Here is a 17188-nt window from a genome sequence, read left to right as displayed (position 1 = left end):
GGATCCCGGATACCACTTAGAGGCCACTGAGGCCACCTGGGAGATGATGGTGGCCTGGACTGGGGTAGTAGTAGTGGAAGTGCTGAGAGCAGGTTTAGTTCAGGAAATATTTGCCTTCTCCCTGGGTTCTGGAGCCTGGCACGCTTATTTGCAAAGGGGACCTCCCCACCCACAGGGGCTGCAGGATTAGGAAGCCACACACAAACAAAGCCACACACCAGTCCAGGGCAAGGAACAATTTTTACAATCCAGTATAACAAGCTTCCAGGCTGTGTGCACACCTTCCAGATAGGCAGGGGGTTTGCAGATGAAAGGGAACCGGTGGCACAGCGCACACTGAGCTGAGAGTTGGGAACCTGGGTTTGAGTCTCTGATCTTCTCGGGGGGTAACCTTGGGCAAGGCCCTTGGCCTTTCAGAGCTGTGTGCTCCCCGTTGGGACAGTAAGGACAGTCATCTAGACCTTTCAGCTTTGAGGGTTTCAGTTCTAGTTTCCTGGGTCATGCTGGCTGTGTGCTCTCACTCCTTCTAGGGCTGTGGTTTTGCAGGCCTGGGACTTGGGCCCTTCTTTCTCATCAGGTATGGGACCCAAGCACAGTGGGTCCTCAACCGCCGGCTCACTGACTCTTCAACCCATCATGATGCTCAGAGATAGCAGTGGCTGGGTGACCAGATGTCCCTGGCCATGCTCAAAAGTGTCCTGGTGAGGATGATAAATTAGACACAAGTGGGCATGGTGGCTCACACCTGTAATCCCAGCACTTTGGGAGGCCTAGACGGGTGGATCATCTGAAATCAGGAGTTTGAGACCAGCCTGGCCAACATGGTGAAACCCTATCTCAGGCCGGGCGTGGTGGCTCATGCCTGTAATCCCAGCACTTTGGGAGGCCGAGGCAGGTGGATCACGAGGTCAGGAGTTTGGGACCAGCCTGGGCTGCATGGTGAAACCCCATCTCTACTAAAAAAATACAAAAAATTAGCCGGGCATGGTGGTGCGCACTTGTAATCCCAGCTACTTGGGAGGCTGAGGCAGGAGAATCGCTTGGATCGGGAGGCGGAGGTTGCAGTGAGCCAAGACTGGATCATGCCACTGCACTCCAGCCTGGGTGAGAGGGCGAAATTCCTTCTAAAAAAAAAAAAAAAAGAAAAGAAATCCATCTATACTAAAAATACAAAAATTAGCTGGAAGTGGTTGCACACCTGTAACCCCAACTACTCAGGAGGCTGACGCAGGAGAATTGCTTGAACCTGGGAGGCGAATGTTGCAGTGAGCCGAGATCGCGCCATTGCACTCCAGCCTGGGCAACAGGGCCAGACTCTGTCTCAAAAAAAAAAAAAAAAAAATTAGATGGTCACCTTTCCACTATAGGTTGTAGGACCCACCAACAACCTAAGATCACTTCCATCTCTGAAGGCCCAAGGGAGGCCAGAATCTGGCAGTCACCCTGAGTGGGGAGGGAAACAGAGAATAATGTGGAATCAGCTGAGTCACGGGGTCCAGCCGCATCCCCAGAAGGTGCCTTCTGGGACCTGCCCTGACCTGGAAAATTAAGCCTTTTCTAGAAATACAAGCTGCTACTGGCCTGGAGGAGGGTGGCACACATCAGTTTCTAGCCCTGCTATGTGGCCTTGTCCCTGTAACTCCTAGAACAAAGCTTAATAAACCCTCCTCGTCTTTCCTTGGGCAAGGCTTCTGAGGCCTCAGTGATTACATGAAATCCCAAGTTAATTTTTTAAGCAGATTATCTCTATGGCCAAAGACCAAAACAGTGGAAAAAGCCTTGCCCAGGGAGTCAGAAACTTGGGGGTTTTGTCCCAGCTCTAGCCTCTTGCTGGGTGACCTTGGGGGAGCCTCTTGATCCCTCTGGGCCTCAGTTTCTCTTCCTGTAAAAGGAGGCCATTGGACTAGGGTGCTCTCTGAGGGACTGCAAGCTCTATTTTATTTATTTATTTATTTATTTATTTATTTATTTATTTATTTATTTATTGAGATGGAGTCTTGCTCTGTTTCCCAGGCTGGAGTGCAGTGGCACCATCTCGGCTCAGCCTCCTGTGTTCAAGCAATTCTCCCGCTGCAGCCTCCCGGGTTCAAGCAATTCTCCCACCTCAGCCTCCCGAGTAGCTGGGATTACAGGCGCCCACCATCATGCCTGGCTAATTTTTATATTTTTAGTAGAGATGGGGTTTCACCATGTTGGCCAGGCTGGTCTCCAACTCCTGACCTCAAGTGATCCACCCACCACAGCCTCCCAAAGTGCTGGGATTATAGGCGTGAGCCACTGTGTCATGCCTATTTATTTATTTTAGAGACAGAGTCTTGCTCTGTCACCTAGGCTGGAGTGCAGTGGCATGTTCATGGCTCCCTGTAGCCTCAACCTCCTGGGCTCAAGTGATCCTCCCACCTCAGCCTCCCAAGCAGCTAAGACCACATGCCCACAACACCACACCCAGCTAATTTTGTGTATTTTTTGAGATGGGGTTTCGCCATGCTGCCGAGGCTGGTCTTGAACTCCTGGGCTCAAGTGACCCTCCCGCCTCAGCCCCCCAAAGTGTTGGGATTATAGGTGTGAACCACCGTGCCCTGCCAAATCAAATAATCAAATATTTTCTTGGCTTTACCTTTTTTTTTTTTTTTTGGAGACAGTCTTGCTCTGTTGCCCAGGCTGGAGTGCAATGGGGCGATCTTAGTTCACTGCAGCCTCCACCTTAGCTTTACTTCTGTATCTGTCCCAGCTGTGTTCTCTCAGTAGAGCTCATGAATCACTTCTGGTTTGGATCTGCCTGATTCATGAGTCATCATTTGCTCAAATAAACTTTCTACACCGGGCGCAGTGGTTCACGCCTGTAATCCCAGCACTTCAGGAGGCCGAGGCAGGTGGATCATTTGAGGTCAGGAGTTGGAAACCAGCCTGACCAACATGGTGAAACCCTGTCTCCACTGAAACAAAAACAAAAACAAAAACAAAAATTAGCCGGCGGTAGTGGCGCATGCCTGTAATCCCAGCTACTCGGGAGGCTGAGGCAGGAGAATTGCTTGAGCCTGGGAGGCAGAGGTTGCAGTGAGCCAAGATCGTGCCACTGTACTCCAGTCTGGGCAACAGAGTGAGACCCTGTCTTTAAATAAATAAATAAATAAAATAAAATATGAATAAATAAACCTTCTAATTTTATTGTGCCTCAGTTTACTTTTAAATGTGTTATTGAGAACTTACAGAGTGCTGGCATGGTTAAGGGTTTTTTGCTTTGTTTTTGCAGATTTTCATTAATTTAATTAGATTAATGAGTATTAACATTTACTTAATTTAAATTTTTTAGGTTAAATTTTTAATTTAATTTTATATTATTTTACTTAATGTTTAAAGTGAAAATAGTTGTAATTACTTATAGTTACTTAAAATTAGTATTTAATATTAACTTTTTCCTTTTTTTTTTTCTGGGATGGAATCTTGCTCTGTCGCCCAGGCTGGAGAGCAGAGGCGCGATCTTGGCTCACTGCAATCTCCGCCTCCTGGGTTCAAGCGATTCTCCTGCCTCAGCCTCCCGAGTACCTAGGACTGCAGGTGCCTGCCACTACTTCCAGCTAATTTTTGTATTTTTAGTAGAGACGGGGTTTCACCATATTGGCCAGGCTGGTTTCAAACTTCTGACCTTGTGATCCGCCCGCCTCGACCTCTCAAAGTGCTGGGATACTTTTTCCTTTTTTTTTTTCTTCTTAAGAAACTGGGTCTCCCACTGTTGCTCAAGCTGGAGTGCAGTAACATGATTATAGCTCTCTCCCTCTCCCTCTCCCTCTCCCTCCTCTCCCTCCTCTCCCTCCTCTCCCTCCTCTCCCTCCTCTCCCTCTCTTTCCACGGTCTCCCTCTGATGCAGAGCTGAAGCTGGACTGTACTGCTGCCATCTCGGCTCACTGCAACCTCCCTGCCTGATTCTCCTGCCTCAGCCTGCCGAGTGCCTGCGATTGCAGGCGCGCGCCGCCACGCCTGACTGGTTTTCGTATTTTTTTGGTGGAGACGGGGTTTTGCTGTGTTGGCCGGGCTGGTCTCCAGCTCCTAACCACGAGTGATCCACCAGCCTCGGCTTCCCGAGGTGCTGGGATTGCAGACGGAGTCTCGTTCACTCAGTGCTCAATGGTGCCCAGGCTGGAGTGCAGTGGCGTGATCTCGGCTCGCTACAACCTCCACCTCCCAGCAGCCTGCCTTGGCCTCCCAAAGTGCTGAGATTGCAGCCTCTGCCCGGCCGCCACCCCATCTGGGAAGTGAGGAGCGTCTCTGCCTGGCCGCCATCCCATCTAGGAAGTGAGGAGCGTCTCTGCCCGGCCGCCCATCGTCTGAGATGTGGGGAGCGCCTCTGCCCTGCTGCCCCGTCTGGGATGTGAGGAGCGTCTCTGCCCGGCCACCCCGTCTGAGAAGTGAGGAGCCCCTCCGCCCGGCAGCCGCACCGTCTGAGAAGTGAGGAGTCCCTCCCTCCGGCAGCCACCCCGTCTGGGAAGTGAGGAGCGTCTCCGCCAGGCCAGCCGCCCCGTCTGGGAGGGAGGTGGGGGTCAGCCCCCCGCCCGGCCAGCCGCCCCGTCCGGGAGGGAGGTGGGGGAGTCAGCCCCCCGCCCGGCCAGCCGCCCCGTCCGGGAGGGAGGTAGGGAGGGTCAGCCCCCTGCCCGGCCAGCCGCCCCATCCGGGAGGTGAGGGGCGCCTCTGCCCGGCCGCCCCTACTGGGAAGTGAGGAGCCCCTCTGCCCGGCCAGCCGCCCCGTCCGGGAGGGAGGTGGGGGGGTCAGCCCCCCGCCCGGCCAGCTGCCCCGTCTGGGAGGGAGGTGGGGGGGTCAGCCCCCCGCCCGGCCAGCCTCCCCGTCCGGGAGGGAGGTGGGGGGATCAGCCCCCCGCCCGGCCAGCCGCCCCGTCCGGGAGGTGAGGGGCGCCTCTGCCCGGCCGCCCCTACTGGGAAGTGAGGAGCCCCTCTGCCCGGCCAGCCGCCCCGTCCGGGAGGGAGGTGGGGGGGGTCAGCCATCCGTCCGGCCAGCCGCCCCATCCGGGAGGTGAGGGGCGCCTCTGCCCGGCCGCCCCTACTGGGAAGTGAGGAGCCCCTCTGCCCGGCCACCACCCCGTCTGGGAGGTGTACCCAACAGCTCATTGAGAATGGGCCATGATGACAATGGCGGTTTTGTGGAATAGAAAGGGGGGAAAGGTGGGGAAAAGATTGAGAAATCGGATGGTTGCCGTGTCTGTGTAGAAAGAGGTAGACATGGGAGACTTTTCATTTTGTGCTGTACTAAGAAAAATTCTTCTTCCTTGGGATCCTGTTGATCTGTGACCTTGCCCCCAACCCTGTGCTCTCTGAAACATGTGCTGTGTCCACTCAGGGTTGAATGGATTAAGGGTGGTGCAAGATGTGCTTTGTTAAACAGATGCTTGAAGGCAGCATGCTCCTTAAGAGTCATCACCACTCCCTAATCTCAAGTACCCAGGGACACAAACACTGCGGAAGGCCGCAGGGTCCTCTGCCTAGGAAAACCAGAGACCTCTGTTCACTTGTTTATCTGCTGACCTTCCCTCCACTATTGTCCTGTGACCCTGCCAAATCCCCCTCTGCGAGAAACACCCAAGAATGATCAATAAAAAAAAAAAAGAAAAAAAAAACATGATTATAGCTCCTTGCTGCCTTGAACTCCTGAGCTCAAGCAATCCGCTTCTCCCAGCTCATCCTCTTTTAACAGGTGTTGGTATCTCGGAGTGACGGTCTCCTTTGCCCTGCCCTGTGCTTGCCACACCAGAGCCACCATAATTTTTTGCTAACTTTCTGGAAGTGATGACATTTGGCATGGAGTCAAATGCCTGTGGCTCAGCATGTGACCCCGCTGAATCACATGGCTCACATAGGGTGTTCTGGGTGACCCAGACAATTCTGAGGAGGACTGAGCCCTGTGGCTTGGCATTCACTGAATCACATGACCTAAGCAGCTGCAGGCTGTGGCTTGCAGTGTGCATCCTCAAGGCTGTGACCCCAGGTGGGGCCCGAAGGCCCCAGGAGGGAGTGGAAGGGGCTGTGTTTACCCTGGGGAGGGTGGGTGCTGGCAATATCTCCTGCTGGGCCCTTGGACAACGTCAAGCCTTGCTTAAGGTGAGTGAAGGCCACCTCCCTTTGATAGGTCTCACAACATGCAGGAGATCAGGTTTTTAGTTATCCAAAGAAGAAAGGGTTTTCCCCGAAGGGAAAAATATTTTTACTTGTCTCTTTTCCGCTTTTCCGCATTTTCTCAGTTACTGATAGTGAACAAATATTGTAGTCGCCCTTATCTTCAGGGGATACTTTCCCAGAGCCCCAGTAGATGCCTGAGACCTAAGTGATAGTATCGAACCCTATATATGTTCTGCTTTTTCTATACATACACACCTGTGATAAAAGTTGAATTCATAAGTCAGGCACAGTAACGGATTAACAACAATAAATAAGTAGAACAATTATAACAATGTGCTGTAATAAAGTTAGGTCAGCATGCTCTCTCTCTCTCTCTCTCTCAAAATGTCTTAGTATTTTTGGAACTTAGTTGACCACAGGTAACTGAAACTGCAGAAAGCAAAACCTTGGATAAGCAAGGGGGACTACTGTACTGCCTTGGTAATCAGAAAATAAACCTTGTTATCATTATTTTCATGTCTTTTTCTTTCTTTCTTTTTTATTTTATTTATTTATTTATTTTTTTGAGACGGAGTTTCGCTCTTGTTGCCCAGGCTGGAGTGCAGTGGTGCGATCTCGGCTCACCACAACCTCCACCTCCTGGGTTCAAGAGATCCTCCTGCCTCAGCCTCCCTAGTAGCTGGGATTACAGGCATGCACCACCATGCCTGGCTAATTTTGTATTTTTAGTACAGACGAGGTTTCTCCATGTTGGTCAGACTGGTCTCCATCTCCTGACCTCAGGTGATCCACCCGCCTTGGCCTCCCAAAGCGCTGGGATTATAGGCGTGAGCCACTGTGCCTGGCCACTTATTATTTTGAGACAGGGTCTCACCCTGTCACCCAGGTTGGAGTGCAGTGGTGTCTCCCACTGCACTCCACCACCCAGTACCTCCCTGGACTCAAGTGATCCTCCTGCCTCAGCCTCCTGAGTAGCTGGAACTACAGGCACTTGCCACCATGCCCGGATAATTTTTTGTAGAGATGGAGTTTCGCTACGTTGCCCAGGCTGGTCTCGAACTCCTGGGCTCAAATGATCCACCTGCCTTGGCCTACCAAAGTGCTGGGATCTGGGATTAGATGTGTGAGTCACTGTGCCTGGCTACATGATTATTTTTTAATGCCATTCCTGAGACCATCAGCATTTACCACACTGCTCATCTCAGGATTTTTTTTAAGGGGTCCAGTACTGGGTGGTGGGAAGGAACATCAACTTCATGTCTGTAATCCCAGTACTTTGGGAGGCTGAGGGGGGCAGATTACTTGAGGTCAGGAGTTCGAGACCAGCCTGGGCATCGTGGCAAAACCCCGTCTCTACTAAAAATACAAACATTAGCCAGGCGTGGTGGTTCACACCTGTGCTCCCAGCTACTCAGGAGGCTGAGGCAGGAGAATTGCTTGAACCCTGGAGACAGAGATTGCAGTGAGCCAAGATGGCACCACTGCACTCCCGCCTGGGTGACAGAGCAAGACTCTGTCTCAAAAAAAAAAAAAAAAAAAAAAAGTGGAAAGCCCTGCCCCACCATTTTCTAGCGGTGTGTCCTTGGGCAAGCCACTTAGCTTCCCTGAGCCCCAAGTTCCTTATAAGATGGGACTAGTAATAACAACAGTTAACCTTATTGTGGGCTTAACGTGTGCCAGGCACTGTTCTGCCCAGTTGACATGTATTCAATCAGTCTGTCCCAACTACTCCGTTAGAAAGGTACTATTTTGGCCTCATTTTATAGATGGGGAAACTGAGGCACAGAGAAGGTAAATATTCTGCCCGGGTCACTCAGCTAGTCCATGGTGGAGATGGGATATGAGTCCAGACTGTCTGACCATGAGGCCTGGAAGAGCCTGCCCACTTATTCACACTGGACCCATGGGGTCGGTGAAGTTTAAATGAGGTGGAGCACATGGAGGGCACAGAGTCCCGCACACAGTAGGGTTCCAACCCTTGCCCTCACTCCTTCCAGGGCCAGAGAGAGCCCATGCAAATGGCCAGCATCATCTGGGACACCTACCACCAGAAGCACTGGCCTCCAGGGCCACTGTGCTACCATGGAGTGGGGCCTGGATGACCCGTACCCTGGCTCCCACAGTCACATTGGTGATGGGGACAGCGCAACCGGAGGGGCGCAGTGCCTTGCCCAAAGTCCCATAGCTTGGTTGTGATGAGTGTGGACTAGGAACCAGCTCAGACTCCTATCAGGGCCTTTTCTGTAGACCACAGCCTCTGAGTCCAGGAACAGCTCCCGCTGGGATGCAGGGGACAGGCTCTGACATCTTGGGTCTGGGTGTTGTCAGACACTGGCTCAGCAGCTGGGCAGGCGGGGGAGGGGATGGGGGGATGCTGGGAACACCTGGACTGTGGGCAGATGAGGGGAAGCAAGAGCCCAGCCCACAGTCAGCACAGCACGCTCCTCAGCAACTGCTGTTGGCAGGGTTGGTGGCAGTGGACTGAGGGTCTCTCTCCTCCCCCAGCATTGACATCACTCCAGCCTCGGCAGCCCCCTTGTCCTGCTACCAGCACTGGGGTGAGGCAACCATGGGGATGGGGCTGCCAGGTAACTACACTTGTGGGGGCTTGTGGAGCAGATATAGGCCCATGGCGGGGGTGGGGCTGGGAGAGGGGAGGTTGGAGAACAAAGGTCCCCTGGGATGCACAGGCTCTGGGATAGTTTCCCCACTTTCTTTCTCCATTAAGAAACCCTCCTCCCCTTCTTAATAAATAAAAGGGAAAGAACTTCCCCCAACACCATCATTCACCTGCAGCCTCCTCCGCCTGTTGTTCCTGCTGATGGCATCCTGACCAGCACACAGCAGGCCCAGTGCCAGGTGCATTTCCTCCCTGCCCTCCTCTCATTTTCACAACAGCCTAGGCCCAGGGGCTGTCCACCTTCTGAATGAGGACACCAAGGGTTGGTGCCCAGCAGGATCTCACAGTTGGTACAGCTAAGGGATAGAGCGGGATTTGGACCTTAGCGTCTCCTCCTCTGGACACTTTCAAGCTAGATTGCTTAAGAGAAATATTTTATTGCCTCTTTTTTTAAAAAAAAGAAGATGAAGATGAAGACGAAGAAGAAGAAGAAGAAGGAGAAGGAGGCCAGGCATGGTGACTCATGCCTATAATCACAGCACTGTGGGAGACTGTGGTGGGTGAATCAGTTGGGGTCAGAAGTTCGAGACCAGCCTGGCCAACATGATGAAACCCCATCTCTACTAAAAATACAAAAAAAAAAAAAAAAAAAAAAAATTAGCCGGGCTTGGTGGCATGCACCTGCAGTCCCAGCTGAGGCAGGAAAATCACTTGAATCCAGGAGGTGGAGGTTTTAGTGAGCCGAGACCTCACCACTGCGCTCCAGCCTGGGTGACAGAGCAAGGCTCCATCTCAAAAAAAAATAAAAATAGCTGGGTGCGGTGGCTCACGCCTGTAATCCCAGCACTTTGGGAGGCTGAAGCAGGCGGATCACCTGAGGTTGAGAGTTCGAGACCAGCCTGAGCAACATGGAGAAAACCCATCTCTACTAAAAATACAAAATTAGCCAGCCGTGGTGGTGCATGCCTGTAATCCCAGCTACTCGTGAGGCTGAGGCAGGAGAATTGCTTGAACCCGGGAGGCGGAGGTTGTGGTGAGCCAAGATTGCGCCACTGCACTCCAGCCTGGGCAATAAGAGCAAAACTCCATCTCAAAAAAATTTAAAAAAAAATGTTATTTGGGTGTGGTGGCACACACCTGTGGTTCCAGCTATTTGGGAGGCTGAGGCAGGAGGATCATGTGAACCCAGGAGGTCGAGGCTGTAATGTGCCATGATTGTGCCACTGCACTACAGCCTAGGCAACAGAGAGAGACCTTGTCTCAGAAAGAAGAAGAAAATTTTTTTATTGCGTTATAATTTATATACCATGCAATTCACACATTTAAAGTGTACAACTGGGGCCAGGCATGGTGGCTCACACCTGTAATCCCAGCACTTTGGGAGGCCGAGGTGGAGGGATCACTAGAGGTCAGGAGTTCGCCACCAGCCTGGCCAACATGGTGAAACCCTATCTCTATTAAAAATACAAAAATTAACTGGGTGTGGTGGCACATGTGGTGTAGTCCCTGCTACTCGGGAGGCTGAGGCAGGAGAATCACTTGAACCTGGGAGGCGAAGGTTGCAGTGAGCCTAGATCGTGCCACTGCACTCCAGCCTGGGTGAGAGAGCGAGACTCCGTCTCGGGGAAAAAAAAAGTGTACAATTTGCTGCGTGAGGTGGCTCATGCCTGTAATCCTGGCACTTTGGGAGGCCGAGGTGGGCTGATCGCTTGAGGACAGGAGTTTGAATCCAGCCTGGGCAACATAGCGAGACCTCATCTCTATTTATTATATAAATAAATAAATAAAGTGTACAAATCTGCCAGGCACAGTGGCTCATGCCTGTAATCTCAGCACTTTGGGAGGCTGAAGTGGGAGGATCCCTTGAGCCCGGGAATTCAAGACCAACCTGAGCAACATTGTGAGACCCTATCTTTACAAAAAATAAGACATTAGCTGGGTATGGTGATGTACACCAGTAGTCCCAGCTCCTCAGGAGGCTGAGGTGGGAGGATTGTTGAATTAATGTTTCAGTGGACGGATTTGATCTCAAACCAGGTTTATGCCCTTAAAGGCACAATGATTCCTTCGGTGGGCACAGCTCCTCCCAGTTGCCAGACTACGTCCATGTTCGTAATGCACGTACTGAAGTATGGGGAGGTGAAGTTCTCCCCAGAGGTGACTCAGCCAGCAAGAAGCAGATCAAGGAGGAGATTCCAGGTCCCTGACATGAAAGCCAGTCCTCTCTCTATAAGCAAAGCTCTCAGGTTTGGGTTGGGTGTTGGGTTCCTGGGTGAGGTAATTCGAACTCAGAGTAGTACTCAGTCAAACTCCTAATAAGATAAAGAAACTCTGAAGACAGGATCATAACTTATAATGGAAATCTCCAGAAAACCTAAAGATTCAGAGGCCCTAATTCCAGCCCACTTGTGTCCAAGGTCATTTAAGACACAAACGTCCAGCCTGAGCCAAGCGTGTTCTCAGTCCACTGCCCTGAGGATTAGGATAGGTGTCATTGTGGAGGCCAGGGGCCAATTGGGAAGTGTCTTCATAGGGTGTCACAATCTTGATGAAGACACTGGGGTCCAAGGATCTTGGTTTACCTGGCCCAAAGAAAAGGTTAAGGTTTTCAGGGTGAGGCTCCTGAAGAAACTTACAAGAGTCTGATACATAAACCAGATTAAGTCCTTAAGACTAAGCTGACCCCAGGGGACAGCTCTGTCACCTTAACAGATTTATCTGCACAGCTGAGCAGTACACTGCACCTCTGAGATCAGACTGGTCAGTCATAGCGTCTGCTCAGGCATGTGGAGTGGGAATGTGGAAAGGTGGAGTGCGATGGCATCAGCCCCCGGTGGCCTGGTGGATCTTTGTACTTCGTGTCTGCTTCCCTTGGGCAATTCTGATTCTCAATGGAGACAACATTGCATAGACTTCAGACCCCAAATGATCTTGGGCTTGAATCCTGGTTCTATCAGGACCAGGGACATCCTAGGCAAGTCGGCCTCTCTGAGACTTGGTTTCCCCATCTGTAAAATGGGAGTAATCAAACCTTTGATTTAAAAATTGGAGGCTTGGCCAGGCACGGTGGCTCATCCCAGCACTTTGGGAGGCCAAGGCGGGTGGATCACAAGGTCAGGAGTTCAAGACCAGCCTGGCCAACATGGTGAAACTCTGTCTCTACTAAAAATACAAAAATTAGCTAGGCATGGTGGCATGTGCCTGTGGTCCCTGCTACTTGGGAGGCTGAGGTGGGTGAATTGCTTGAGTCTAGGAGGTTGAGGCTGCAGTGAGCCGTGATCACACCACTGCGCTCCAGCCTGGGCAACAGAGTGAGACTGCCAAAAAAAAAAAAAGAAAGAAATAAAAGAAAGAAAGAAAGAATAGATTGGAGATTGGCTAGGTGTAGTGGCTCATAACTGCAATCTCAGTGCTTTGGGAGGCCAAGGCAAGAGGATCACCTGAGGCCAGGAGTTTGAGACCATTTTGAGACCGGCCTGGGCAACATAGTGAGATGCTATATTTATTTTAAAATAAAATAAATAAGTAGCCAGGCTTGGTGCCTCACATCTGTAATCCCAGCACTTTGGGAGGCCGAGGCGGGTGGATCACTTGAGGTCAGGAGTTCGAGACCAGCCTGACCAACATGGAGAAATCCCCTCTCTACTAAAAATACAAAATTAGCCGGGAGTGGTGGCACATGCCTGTAATCCCAGCTACTTGGGAGGCTGAGGCAGGAGAATCGCTTGAATCCGGGAGGTGGAGTTTGTAGTGAGCCGAGATTGTGCCATTGCACTCCAGCCTGGGCAACAAGAGCAAAACTCCATCTCAAATAAATAAATAAATAATAGAGATCATGTATATATTGACCAGGCATGGTGACTCATGCCTGTAATCCCAGCACTTTGGGAGGCCAAGGCGGGCAGATCACTTGAGGTCAGGAACTTGAGACCAGCCCGGCCAACATGATGAAACCTCGTCTCTACTAAAAATACAAAAATTAGCTGGGCATGGTGGTGCACGCCTGTAATCCCAGCTATTCAGGAGGTTGAGGAAGGTGAATTGCTTGAACCTGGGCAGCAAAGATTGCAGTGAGCTGAGATCGAGCCGCCACACTCCAGCCTGGGCAACAGAGCAAGATTCCATCTCAAAAAAAAAAAAAAAAAAAGAGAGATTATGTATATAGAGTGATCAGTTGACAGTCAGGTATATTAACAGGCAACTAATTAATGCCAGTTATTATTATTAGTATTATTATTGAGACAGTGTCTTGCTCTGTTGCCCAGGCTGGCGTGCAGTGGGTCAATCATAGCTCAAGCAATCCTCCCACCTAAGCCTCCTGTAGCTGGGACTATAGGCCCACACCACCACGCCCAGCTAAGAAGCTTTGGTTTTAAGATATGCTAACATGGTCAGTTTGATTACAGCCCAGTTCTTGCTTTCCTTTTCAGGCTCAGAAACAACTGATCTAATCTAGTCTTTGTTCTTTTCACCCTCCAAGTTCACCCAAGAGTAAGGGCTCTAGCAGCAAATCATCTGAAATTTAGAGAAGGAGAAAGGTGCCTGAGGCTAGAGGAAGCAGGGGGGCTTCCCAGGAGGTGAAATGCAGCTGGGCCTTGAAATAAAGGGAGGCTTTGATAGATGCCTGGCACAGGGACATAATCTGATAAATTGACAGGACTGTGACTCAGGAGAACTGGCTCTGATCTCAGTTCTATTATTTATTGGTGTTGTGAGCAGTTAAGTCACTTCCCCTCTTTGGGTTTACTAAGGTTCTCCTTCTGACATCCACAGATGGGTGGCTGAGGCCTGAGAGCCTCCTGAAGTCAGTGCAAAATGTGTCTGAGCATTTTTCTGGCAGAGTGTTCCCAGCTTTCATCAGATTCTCTAGGGGCTCTGACCTCACCAACTTGCAGACTGCTACAGTGACTCAGCAGCTCCCGGCCTGCCCCACTGCCCTGCTGCTGCTGACTCACCAGCTCATGCAAGGCCTTCTTGGCAGCTCCTGCTCTCCCCAAGAGAGCAGCTGATGGGGGCCGCCTGTCCAATAGGAATAACATCTGGGGACAGAGCTGTGGGGCCAGGCCGCATCCCATGCACTGATCGGCTCTCAGAATAGACTGACTGGGAATCTGATCACCCACAGCCCAGCGGGTGACAGGGCCTCAGGGTGCCGAATGGGACGTGTGTACAAGGAGCCCTGATGGAGCTGTGGGCCCGGCCAGCAATCTGGCTTCCCCGGAGTGGGGACATAACAACGAGCCTCTTGTGTGGCCTTTCCACTCAGCCTGCGTGCTTCATTTCTCTGTCTTCAGCCCTTGGTACAGTGCCTGGTATATACCAGGCACTCAATAAATGTATTGCTAAAAAAATAACAGGACAAAATAAGAAATGCTGTTGAGATGTGAACAGATCCCAGAGGGAGCAGTGAGGAGGAAGTGTCCACCAATTCCTAAAGCATAGCAAATAGCAAAGGTTTCCCTCTGGCAGTATCTGTTTTTTTTTTTTTTTTTTTTTTCTTTTTCTGATATAGAGTCTCACTCTGTCGCTCAGGCTGGAGTATAGTGGCATGATCTCAGCTCAACCTCCATACCACCTCCCCTCCCCGCCCCCACCAGGTTCAAGCGATTCTCCCGCCTCAGCCTTCTAAGCAGCTGGGATTACAGGCGCGTGACACCACGCCCAGCTAATTTTTTGTATTTTTAGTAGAGACGGGGTTTCACCATGTTGGCCAGGCTGGTCTTGAACTCCTGATCTCAAGTCATCCACCTGACTTGGCCTTCCAAAGCGCTGGGATTACAGGCATGATCCACCGTGCCTGGCCTTAAATGGATTTTGAAGGATGAATAAGAGTTTACCAGAGAAAGAGGCAGGGAATAGAATTCGAGGTAGGGGATGGGGGTATTTATAAGGCACATAAATGTGGAGCTGCATAGCTTATTTAGACAATCTTAGAGAATGTGGGCAGAGTAGGTGGAACCATGGGATGGAGGGCAAGGTCGGAAGTTTGAGAGAACAGAGATTGCAAAGCTGGGCTAGGACCAAGGCCTTGTGTTCCGTAAAGCAGGGGTGTCCATTCTGTGGCTTCCCTGAGCCATACTGGAAGAAGAAAAATTGTCTTGGGCAACATATAGAATACACTAACATTAATGATAACTGATGAGCTTAAAAAAAATCACACACAAAAAATCTCATAATGTTTTAAGAAAGTTTATAAATGTGTGTTGGGCTGCATTCAAAGCCGTCCTGGGCTGCATGTGACCTGCAGGCCGTGGGTTGGACAAGCTTGCTATAAAGAAATGGCGGCCTGGCGCAGTGGCTCACGCCTGTAATCCCAGCACTTTGAGGGGCTGAGGCAGGTGGATCACCTGAGGTCAGGAGTTCGAGACCAGCTTGACCAACATGGAGAAACACCCTCTCTACTAAAAATACAAAATTAGCTGGGTGTGGTGGTGCATGCCTGTAATCCCAGCTCCTCAGGAGGCTGAGGCAGGAGAATCGCTTGAACCTGGAAGGTGGAGGTTGCGGTGAGCCGAGATCGTGCCACTGCACTCCAACCTGGGCAACAAGAGCAAAACTCCATCTTAAAAAAAAAAAAAGCAAAAGAAATGGTCAGAGAAGTAGAAGGATGACTGAGAGCAAGCAGAGTATGGTGGTGGAATTCACTATATAGCTTCTTCTTTCAGGACCAAGCCACCCACTGTCTCTCCACCATGGGCTCGTCTGCTGAGGGCTCACAATTGTGCCATCTCCAGGAATTCCCCTCAGCCAACGGAGCCCCTCACCCAAGCTTACACTCCCTCCCCTGGGACATATTATCTTGGGCTTTAAAGGCCCACACCCCTTACCCCAGTTGACAGCCGTTCTGCAGCACCGTCCCTGCAGCGCGGTATGGGCTGAGGCCAATGTAACAACCTTGTCGCAGTTTGGTTTCCCCTATCTTGCTGCCCTCACGGCCTCACAGGTGTGATCCTGAGAACATACCCCAATAAACTCCTGCCTGCTCATCTCAGCCTTAGACTGTGGTTCCCAGGCAACCCCATCTGAGACAGACAGCAAATATGTTAACCCAAGAGCCAACTTTGAAAGCAGAGGAGTACCGAGTTGACAAGGCTTCAGGAGGCAAGGTCTATTGGTGATGTCTGCCATGAATGAGGAAGCAGGCAGTGGGGACGTGTGTGGTGCATATTCAGCATCCCTGTGGAGTGGCACCCTGTCACTGATGCCAAAGGCGGGGGCGGGAGAGGAGGACTTGTAGAAAGGAGAAGCAAACCAACAGTGCCAGAGGTGAAAGGGAACAGAAGGTGCTGGTGGACTTACCAAGAAGGAATTGACTGTCTACTTTCCAGAAGCCATTTGGGGGATCAGTGGGCTGGATTATAGTTGGGAGGGATAGTAGTAGTTATGGTGAGTGTATATGCCATACTGAGTATGGCACTGAAGGGAAGGTGAGAGAAAGCACAGTGGCTTATGTGAAAGTCAAGGTGAAGAAAGATTTCTTTTAGGATGGGAGAGCCTTGGGCATACTTATAGTCTGACAGGGAAAAGTCAGTGTACAGAGGGAGACAGAAGATATAAAAAAGGAAAGGGGCTGGGCACCATGGCTCAAACCTATAATCCCAGCACTTTGGGAGGCTGAGGCGGGCAGATCGCCTGAGATCAGGAGTTCGAGACAAGCCTGGCCAACATGGCAAAACCCCGTCTCTACTAAAAATACAAAAATTAGCCAGGTGTGGTAGTGTGTGCCTGTAATCCCAGCTACCTGGGAGATTGAGGTGGGACAATCGCTTGAACCCAGGAGACGGAGGTTGTAGTGAGCCAAGATCATACCACTTCACTCCAGCCTGGGTGACAGAGTGAGACTCCATCTCAAAAAAAAAAAAAAAAAAAGAAGGGGGCTGGACGCAATGGCTCACACCTGTAATCCCAGCACTGTGGGAGGCAGAGGCAGGTGGATCACTTAAGGTCAGGAGTTTGAGACCAGCCCGGTGAACATGGCGAAATCCTGCCTCTACTAAAAATACAAAAACTAGACAGGTGTGGTGGCACACGCCTGTAGCCCCAGCTACAAAGGAGGCTGAGGCAAGAGAATCATTTGAACCCAGGGGACGGAGGTTGCAATGAGCTGAGATCACACCGCTGCACTCCAGCCTGGGGGACAGAGCAAGGCTCCATCACAAAAAAAAAAAAAAAAAAAAAAAAAAAAAGAGAGAGAAAATAAAGAAAGAACAATTGACAAAGCAAAGTACCAGAGCGGTGATATTAAAAATATTCACCGATGATTCCTGGTGATATAGCAGTTAGGAAATAATTAATTCAACAAAGTGAAGGACGCAGGCATTAAACAACCAAAATAGACAGAATATCAGTCCTGTCCTAAAAGTCACAGGAGCTGATCAGCAAAAGCATAGTAGTGTTTAGTGGCTAAACTTGCAAAGGGGAGGAAAATACACAAAGCCTTGC

At 50.8% G+C, this 17188-nt stretch overlaps 8 annotated features.

The window, feature by feature from the left end:
* Window positions 594–663: an enhancer, noted in NCBI's record as "active region_3524". NCBI's record gives its function as "activates an Ori minimal core promoter by ATAC-STARR-seq in GM12878 lymphoblastoid cells {active_cell/tissue: GM12878}" and the evidence as "EXISTENCE:reporter gene assay evidence [ECO:0000049][PMID:35858748]".
* Window positions 13025–14044: a transcriptional cis regulatory region, noted in NCBI's record as "candidate enhancer chr10.2502 targeted for multiplex CRISPR interference". NCBI's record gives its function as "positively regulates PSAP gene expression with high confidence in K562 cells {active_cell/tissue: K562}" and the evidence as "EXISTENCE:mutant phenotype evidence [ECO:0000015][PMID:30612741]".
* Window positions 13482–13581: an enhancer, noted in NCBI's record as "active region_3523". NCBI's record gives its function as "activates an Ori minimal core promoter by ATAC-STARR-seq in GM12878 lymphoblastoid cells {active_cell/tissue: GM12878}" and the evidence as "EXISTENCE:reporter gene assay evidence [ECO:0000049][PMID:35858748]".
* Window positions 13584–13728: an enhancer, noted in NCBI's record as "145 bp enhancer 43 fragment used in the MPRA reporter construct; PK_construct_3526". NCBI's record gives its function as "activates an SV40 promoter by MPRA in HepG2 and K562 cells {active_cell/tissue: HepG2 | K562}" and the evidence as "EXISTENCE:reporter gene assay evidence [ECO:0000049][PMID:23512712]".
* Window positions 13624–13768: an enhancer, noted in NCBI's record as "145 bp enhancer 138 fragment used in the MPRA reporter construct; PK_construct_3763". NCBI's record gives its function as "activates an SV40 promoter by MPRA in HepG2 and K562 cells {active_cell/tissue: HepG2 | K562}" and the evidence as "EXISTENCE:reporter gene assay evidence [ECO:0000049][PMID:23512712]".
* Window positions 13651–13661: a transcriptional cis regulatory region, noted in NCBI's record as "NFE2L2 motif; MPRA enhancer 43 activity is reduced when this motif is scrambled". NCBI's record gives its function as "necessary for full MPRA enhancer 43 activity {active_cell/tissue: HepG2 | K562}" and the evidence as "EXISTENCE:site-directed mutagenesis evidence [ECO:0005528][PMID:23512712]".
* Window positions 13691–13701: a transcriptional cis regulatory region, noted in NCBI's record as "NFE2L2 motif; MPRA enhancer 138 activity is reduced when this motif is scrambled". NCBI's record gives its function as "necessary for full MPRA enhancer 138 activity {active_cell/tissue: HepG2 | K562}" and the evidence as "EXISTENCE:site-directed mutagenesis evidence [ECO:0005528][PMID:23512712]".
* Window positions 14193–14427: a silencer, noted in NCBI's record as "fragment chr10:73619612-73619846 (GRCh37/hg19 assembly coordinates)". NCBI's record gives its function as "represses an EF-1alpha promoter that drives an FKBP-Casp9 reporter gene in an ReSE screen in K562 erythroleukemia cells {active_cell/tissue: K562}" and the evidence as "EXISTENCE:reporter gene assay evidence [ECO:0000049][PMID:32094911]".

Source organism: Homo sapiens, chromosome 10 (genome assembly GCF_000001405.40).
Source record: "Homo sapiens chromosome 10, GRCh38.p14 Primary Assembly".
NCBI lineage: Eukaryota > Metazoa > Chordata > Mammalia > Primates > Hominidae > Homo > Homo sapiens.
The sequence above is the reverse complement of the archived record's forward strand: the minus strand, read 5'-3'. Positions and strand labels throughout refer to the sequence as shown.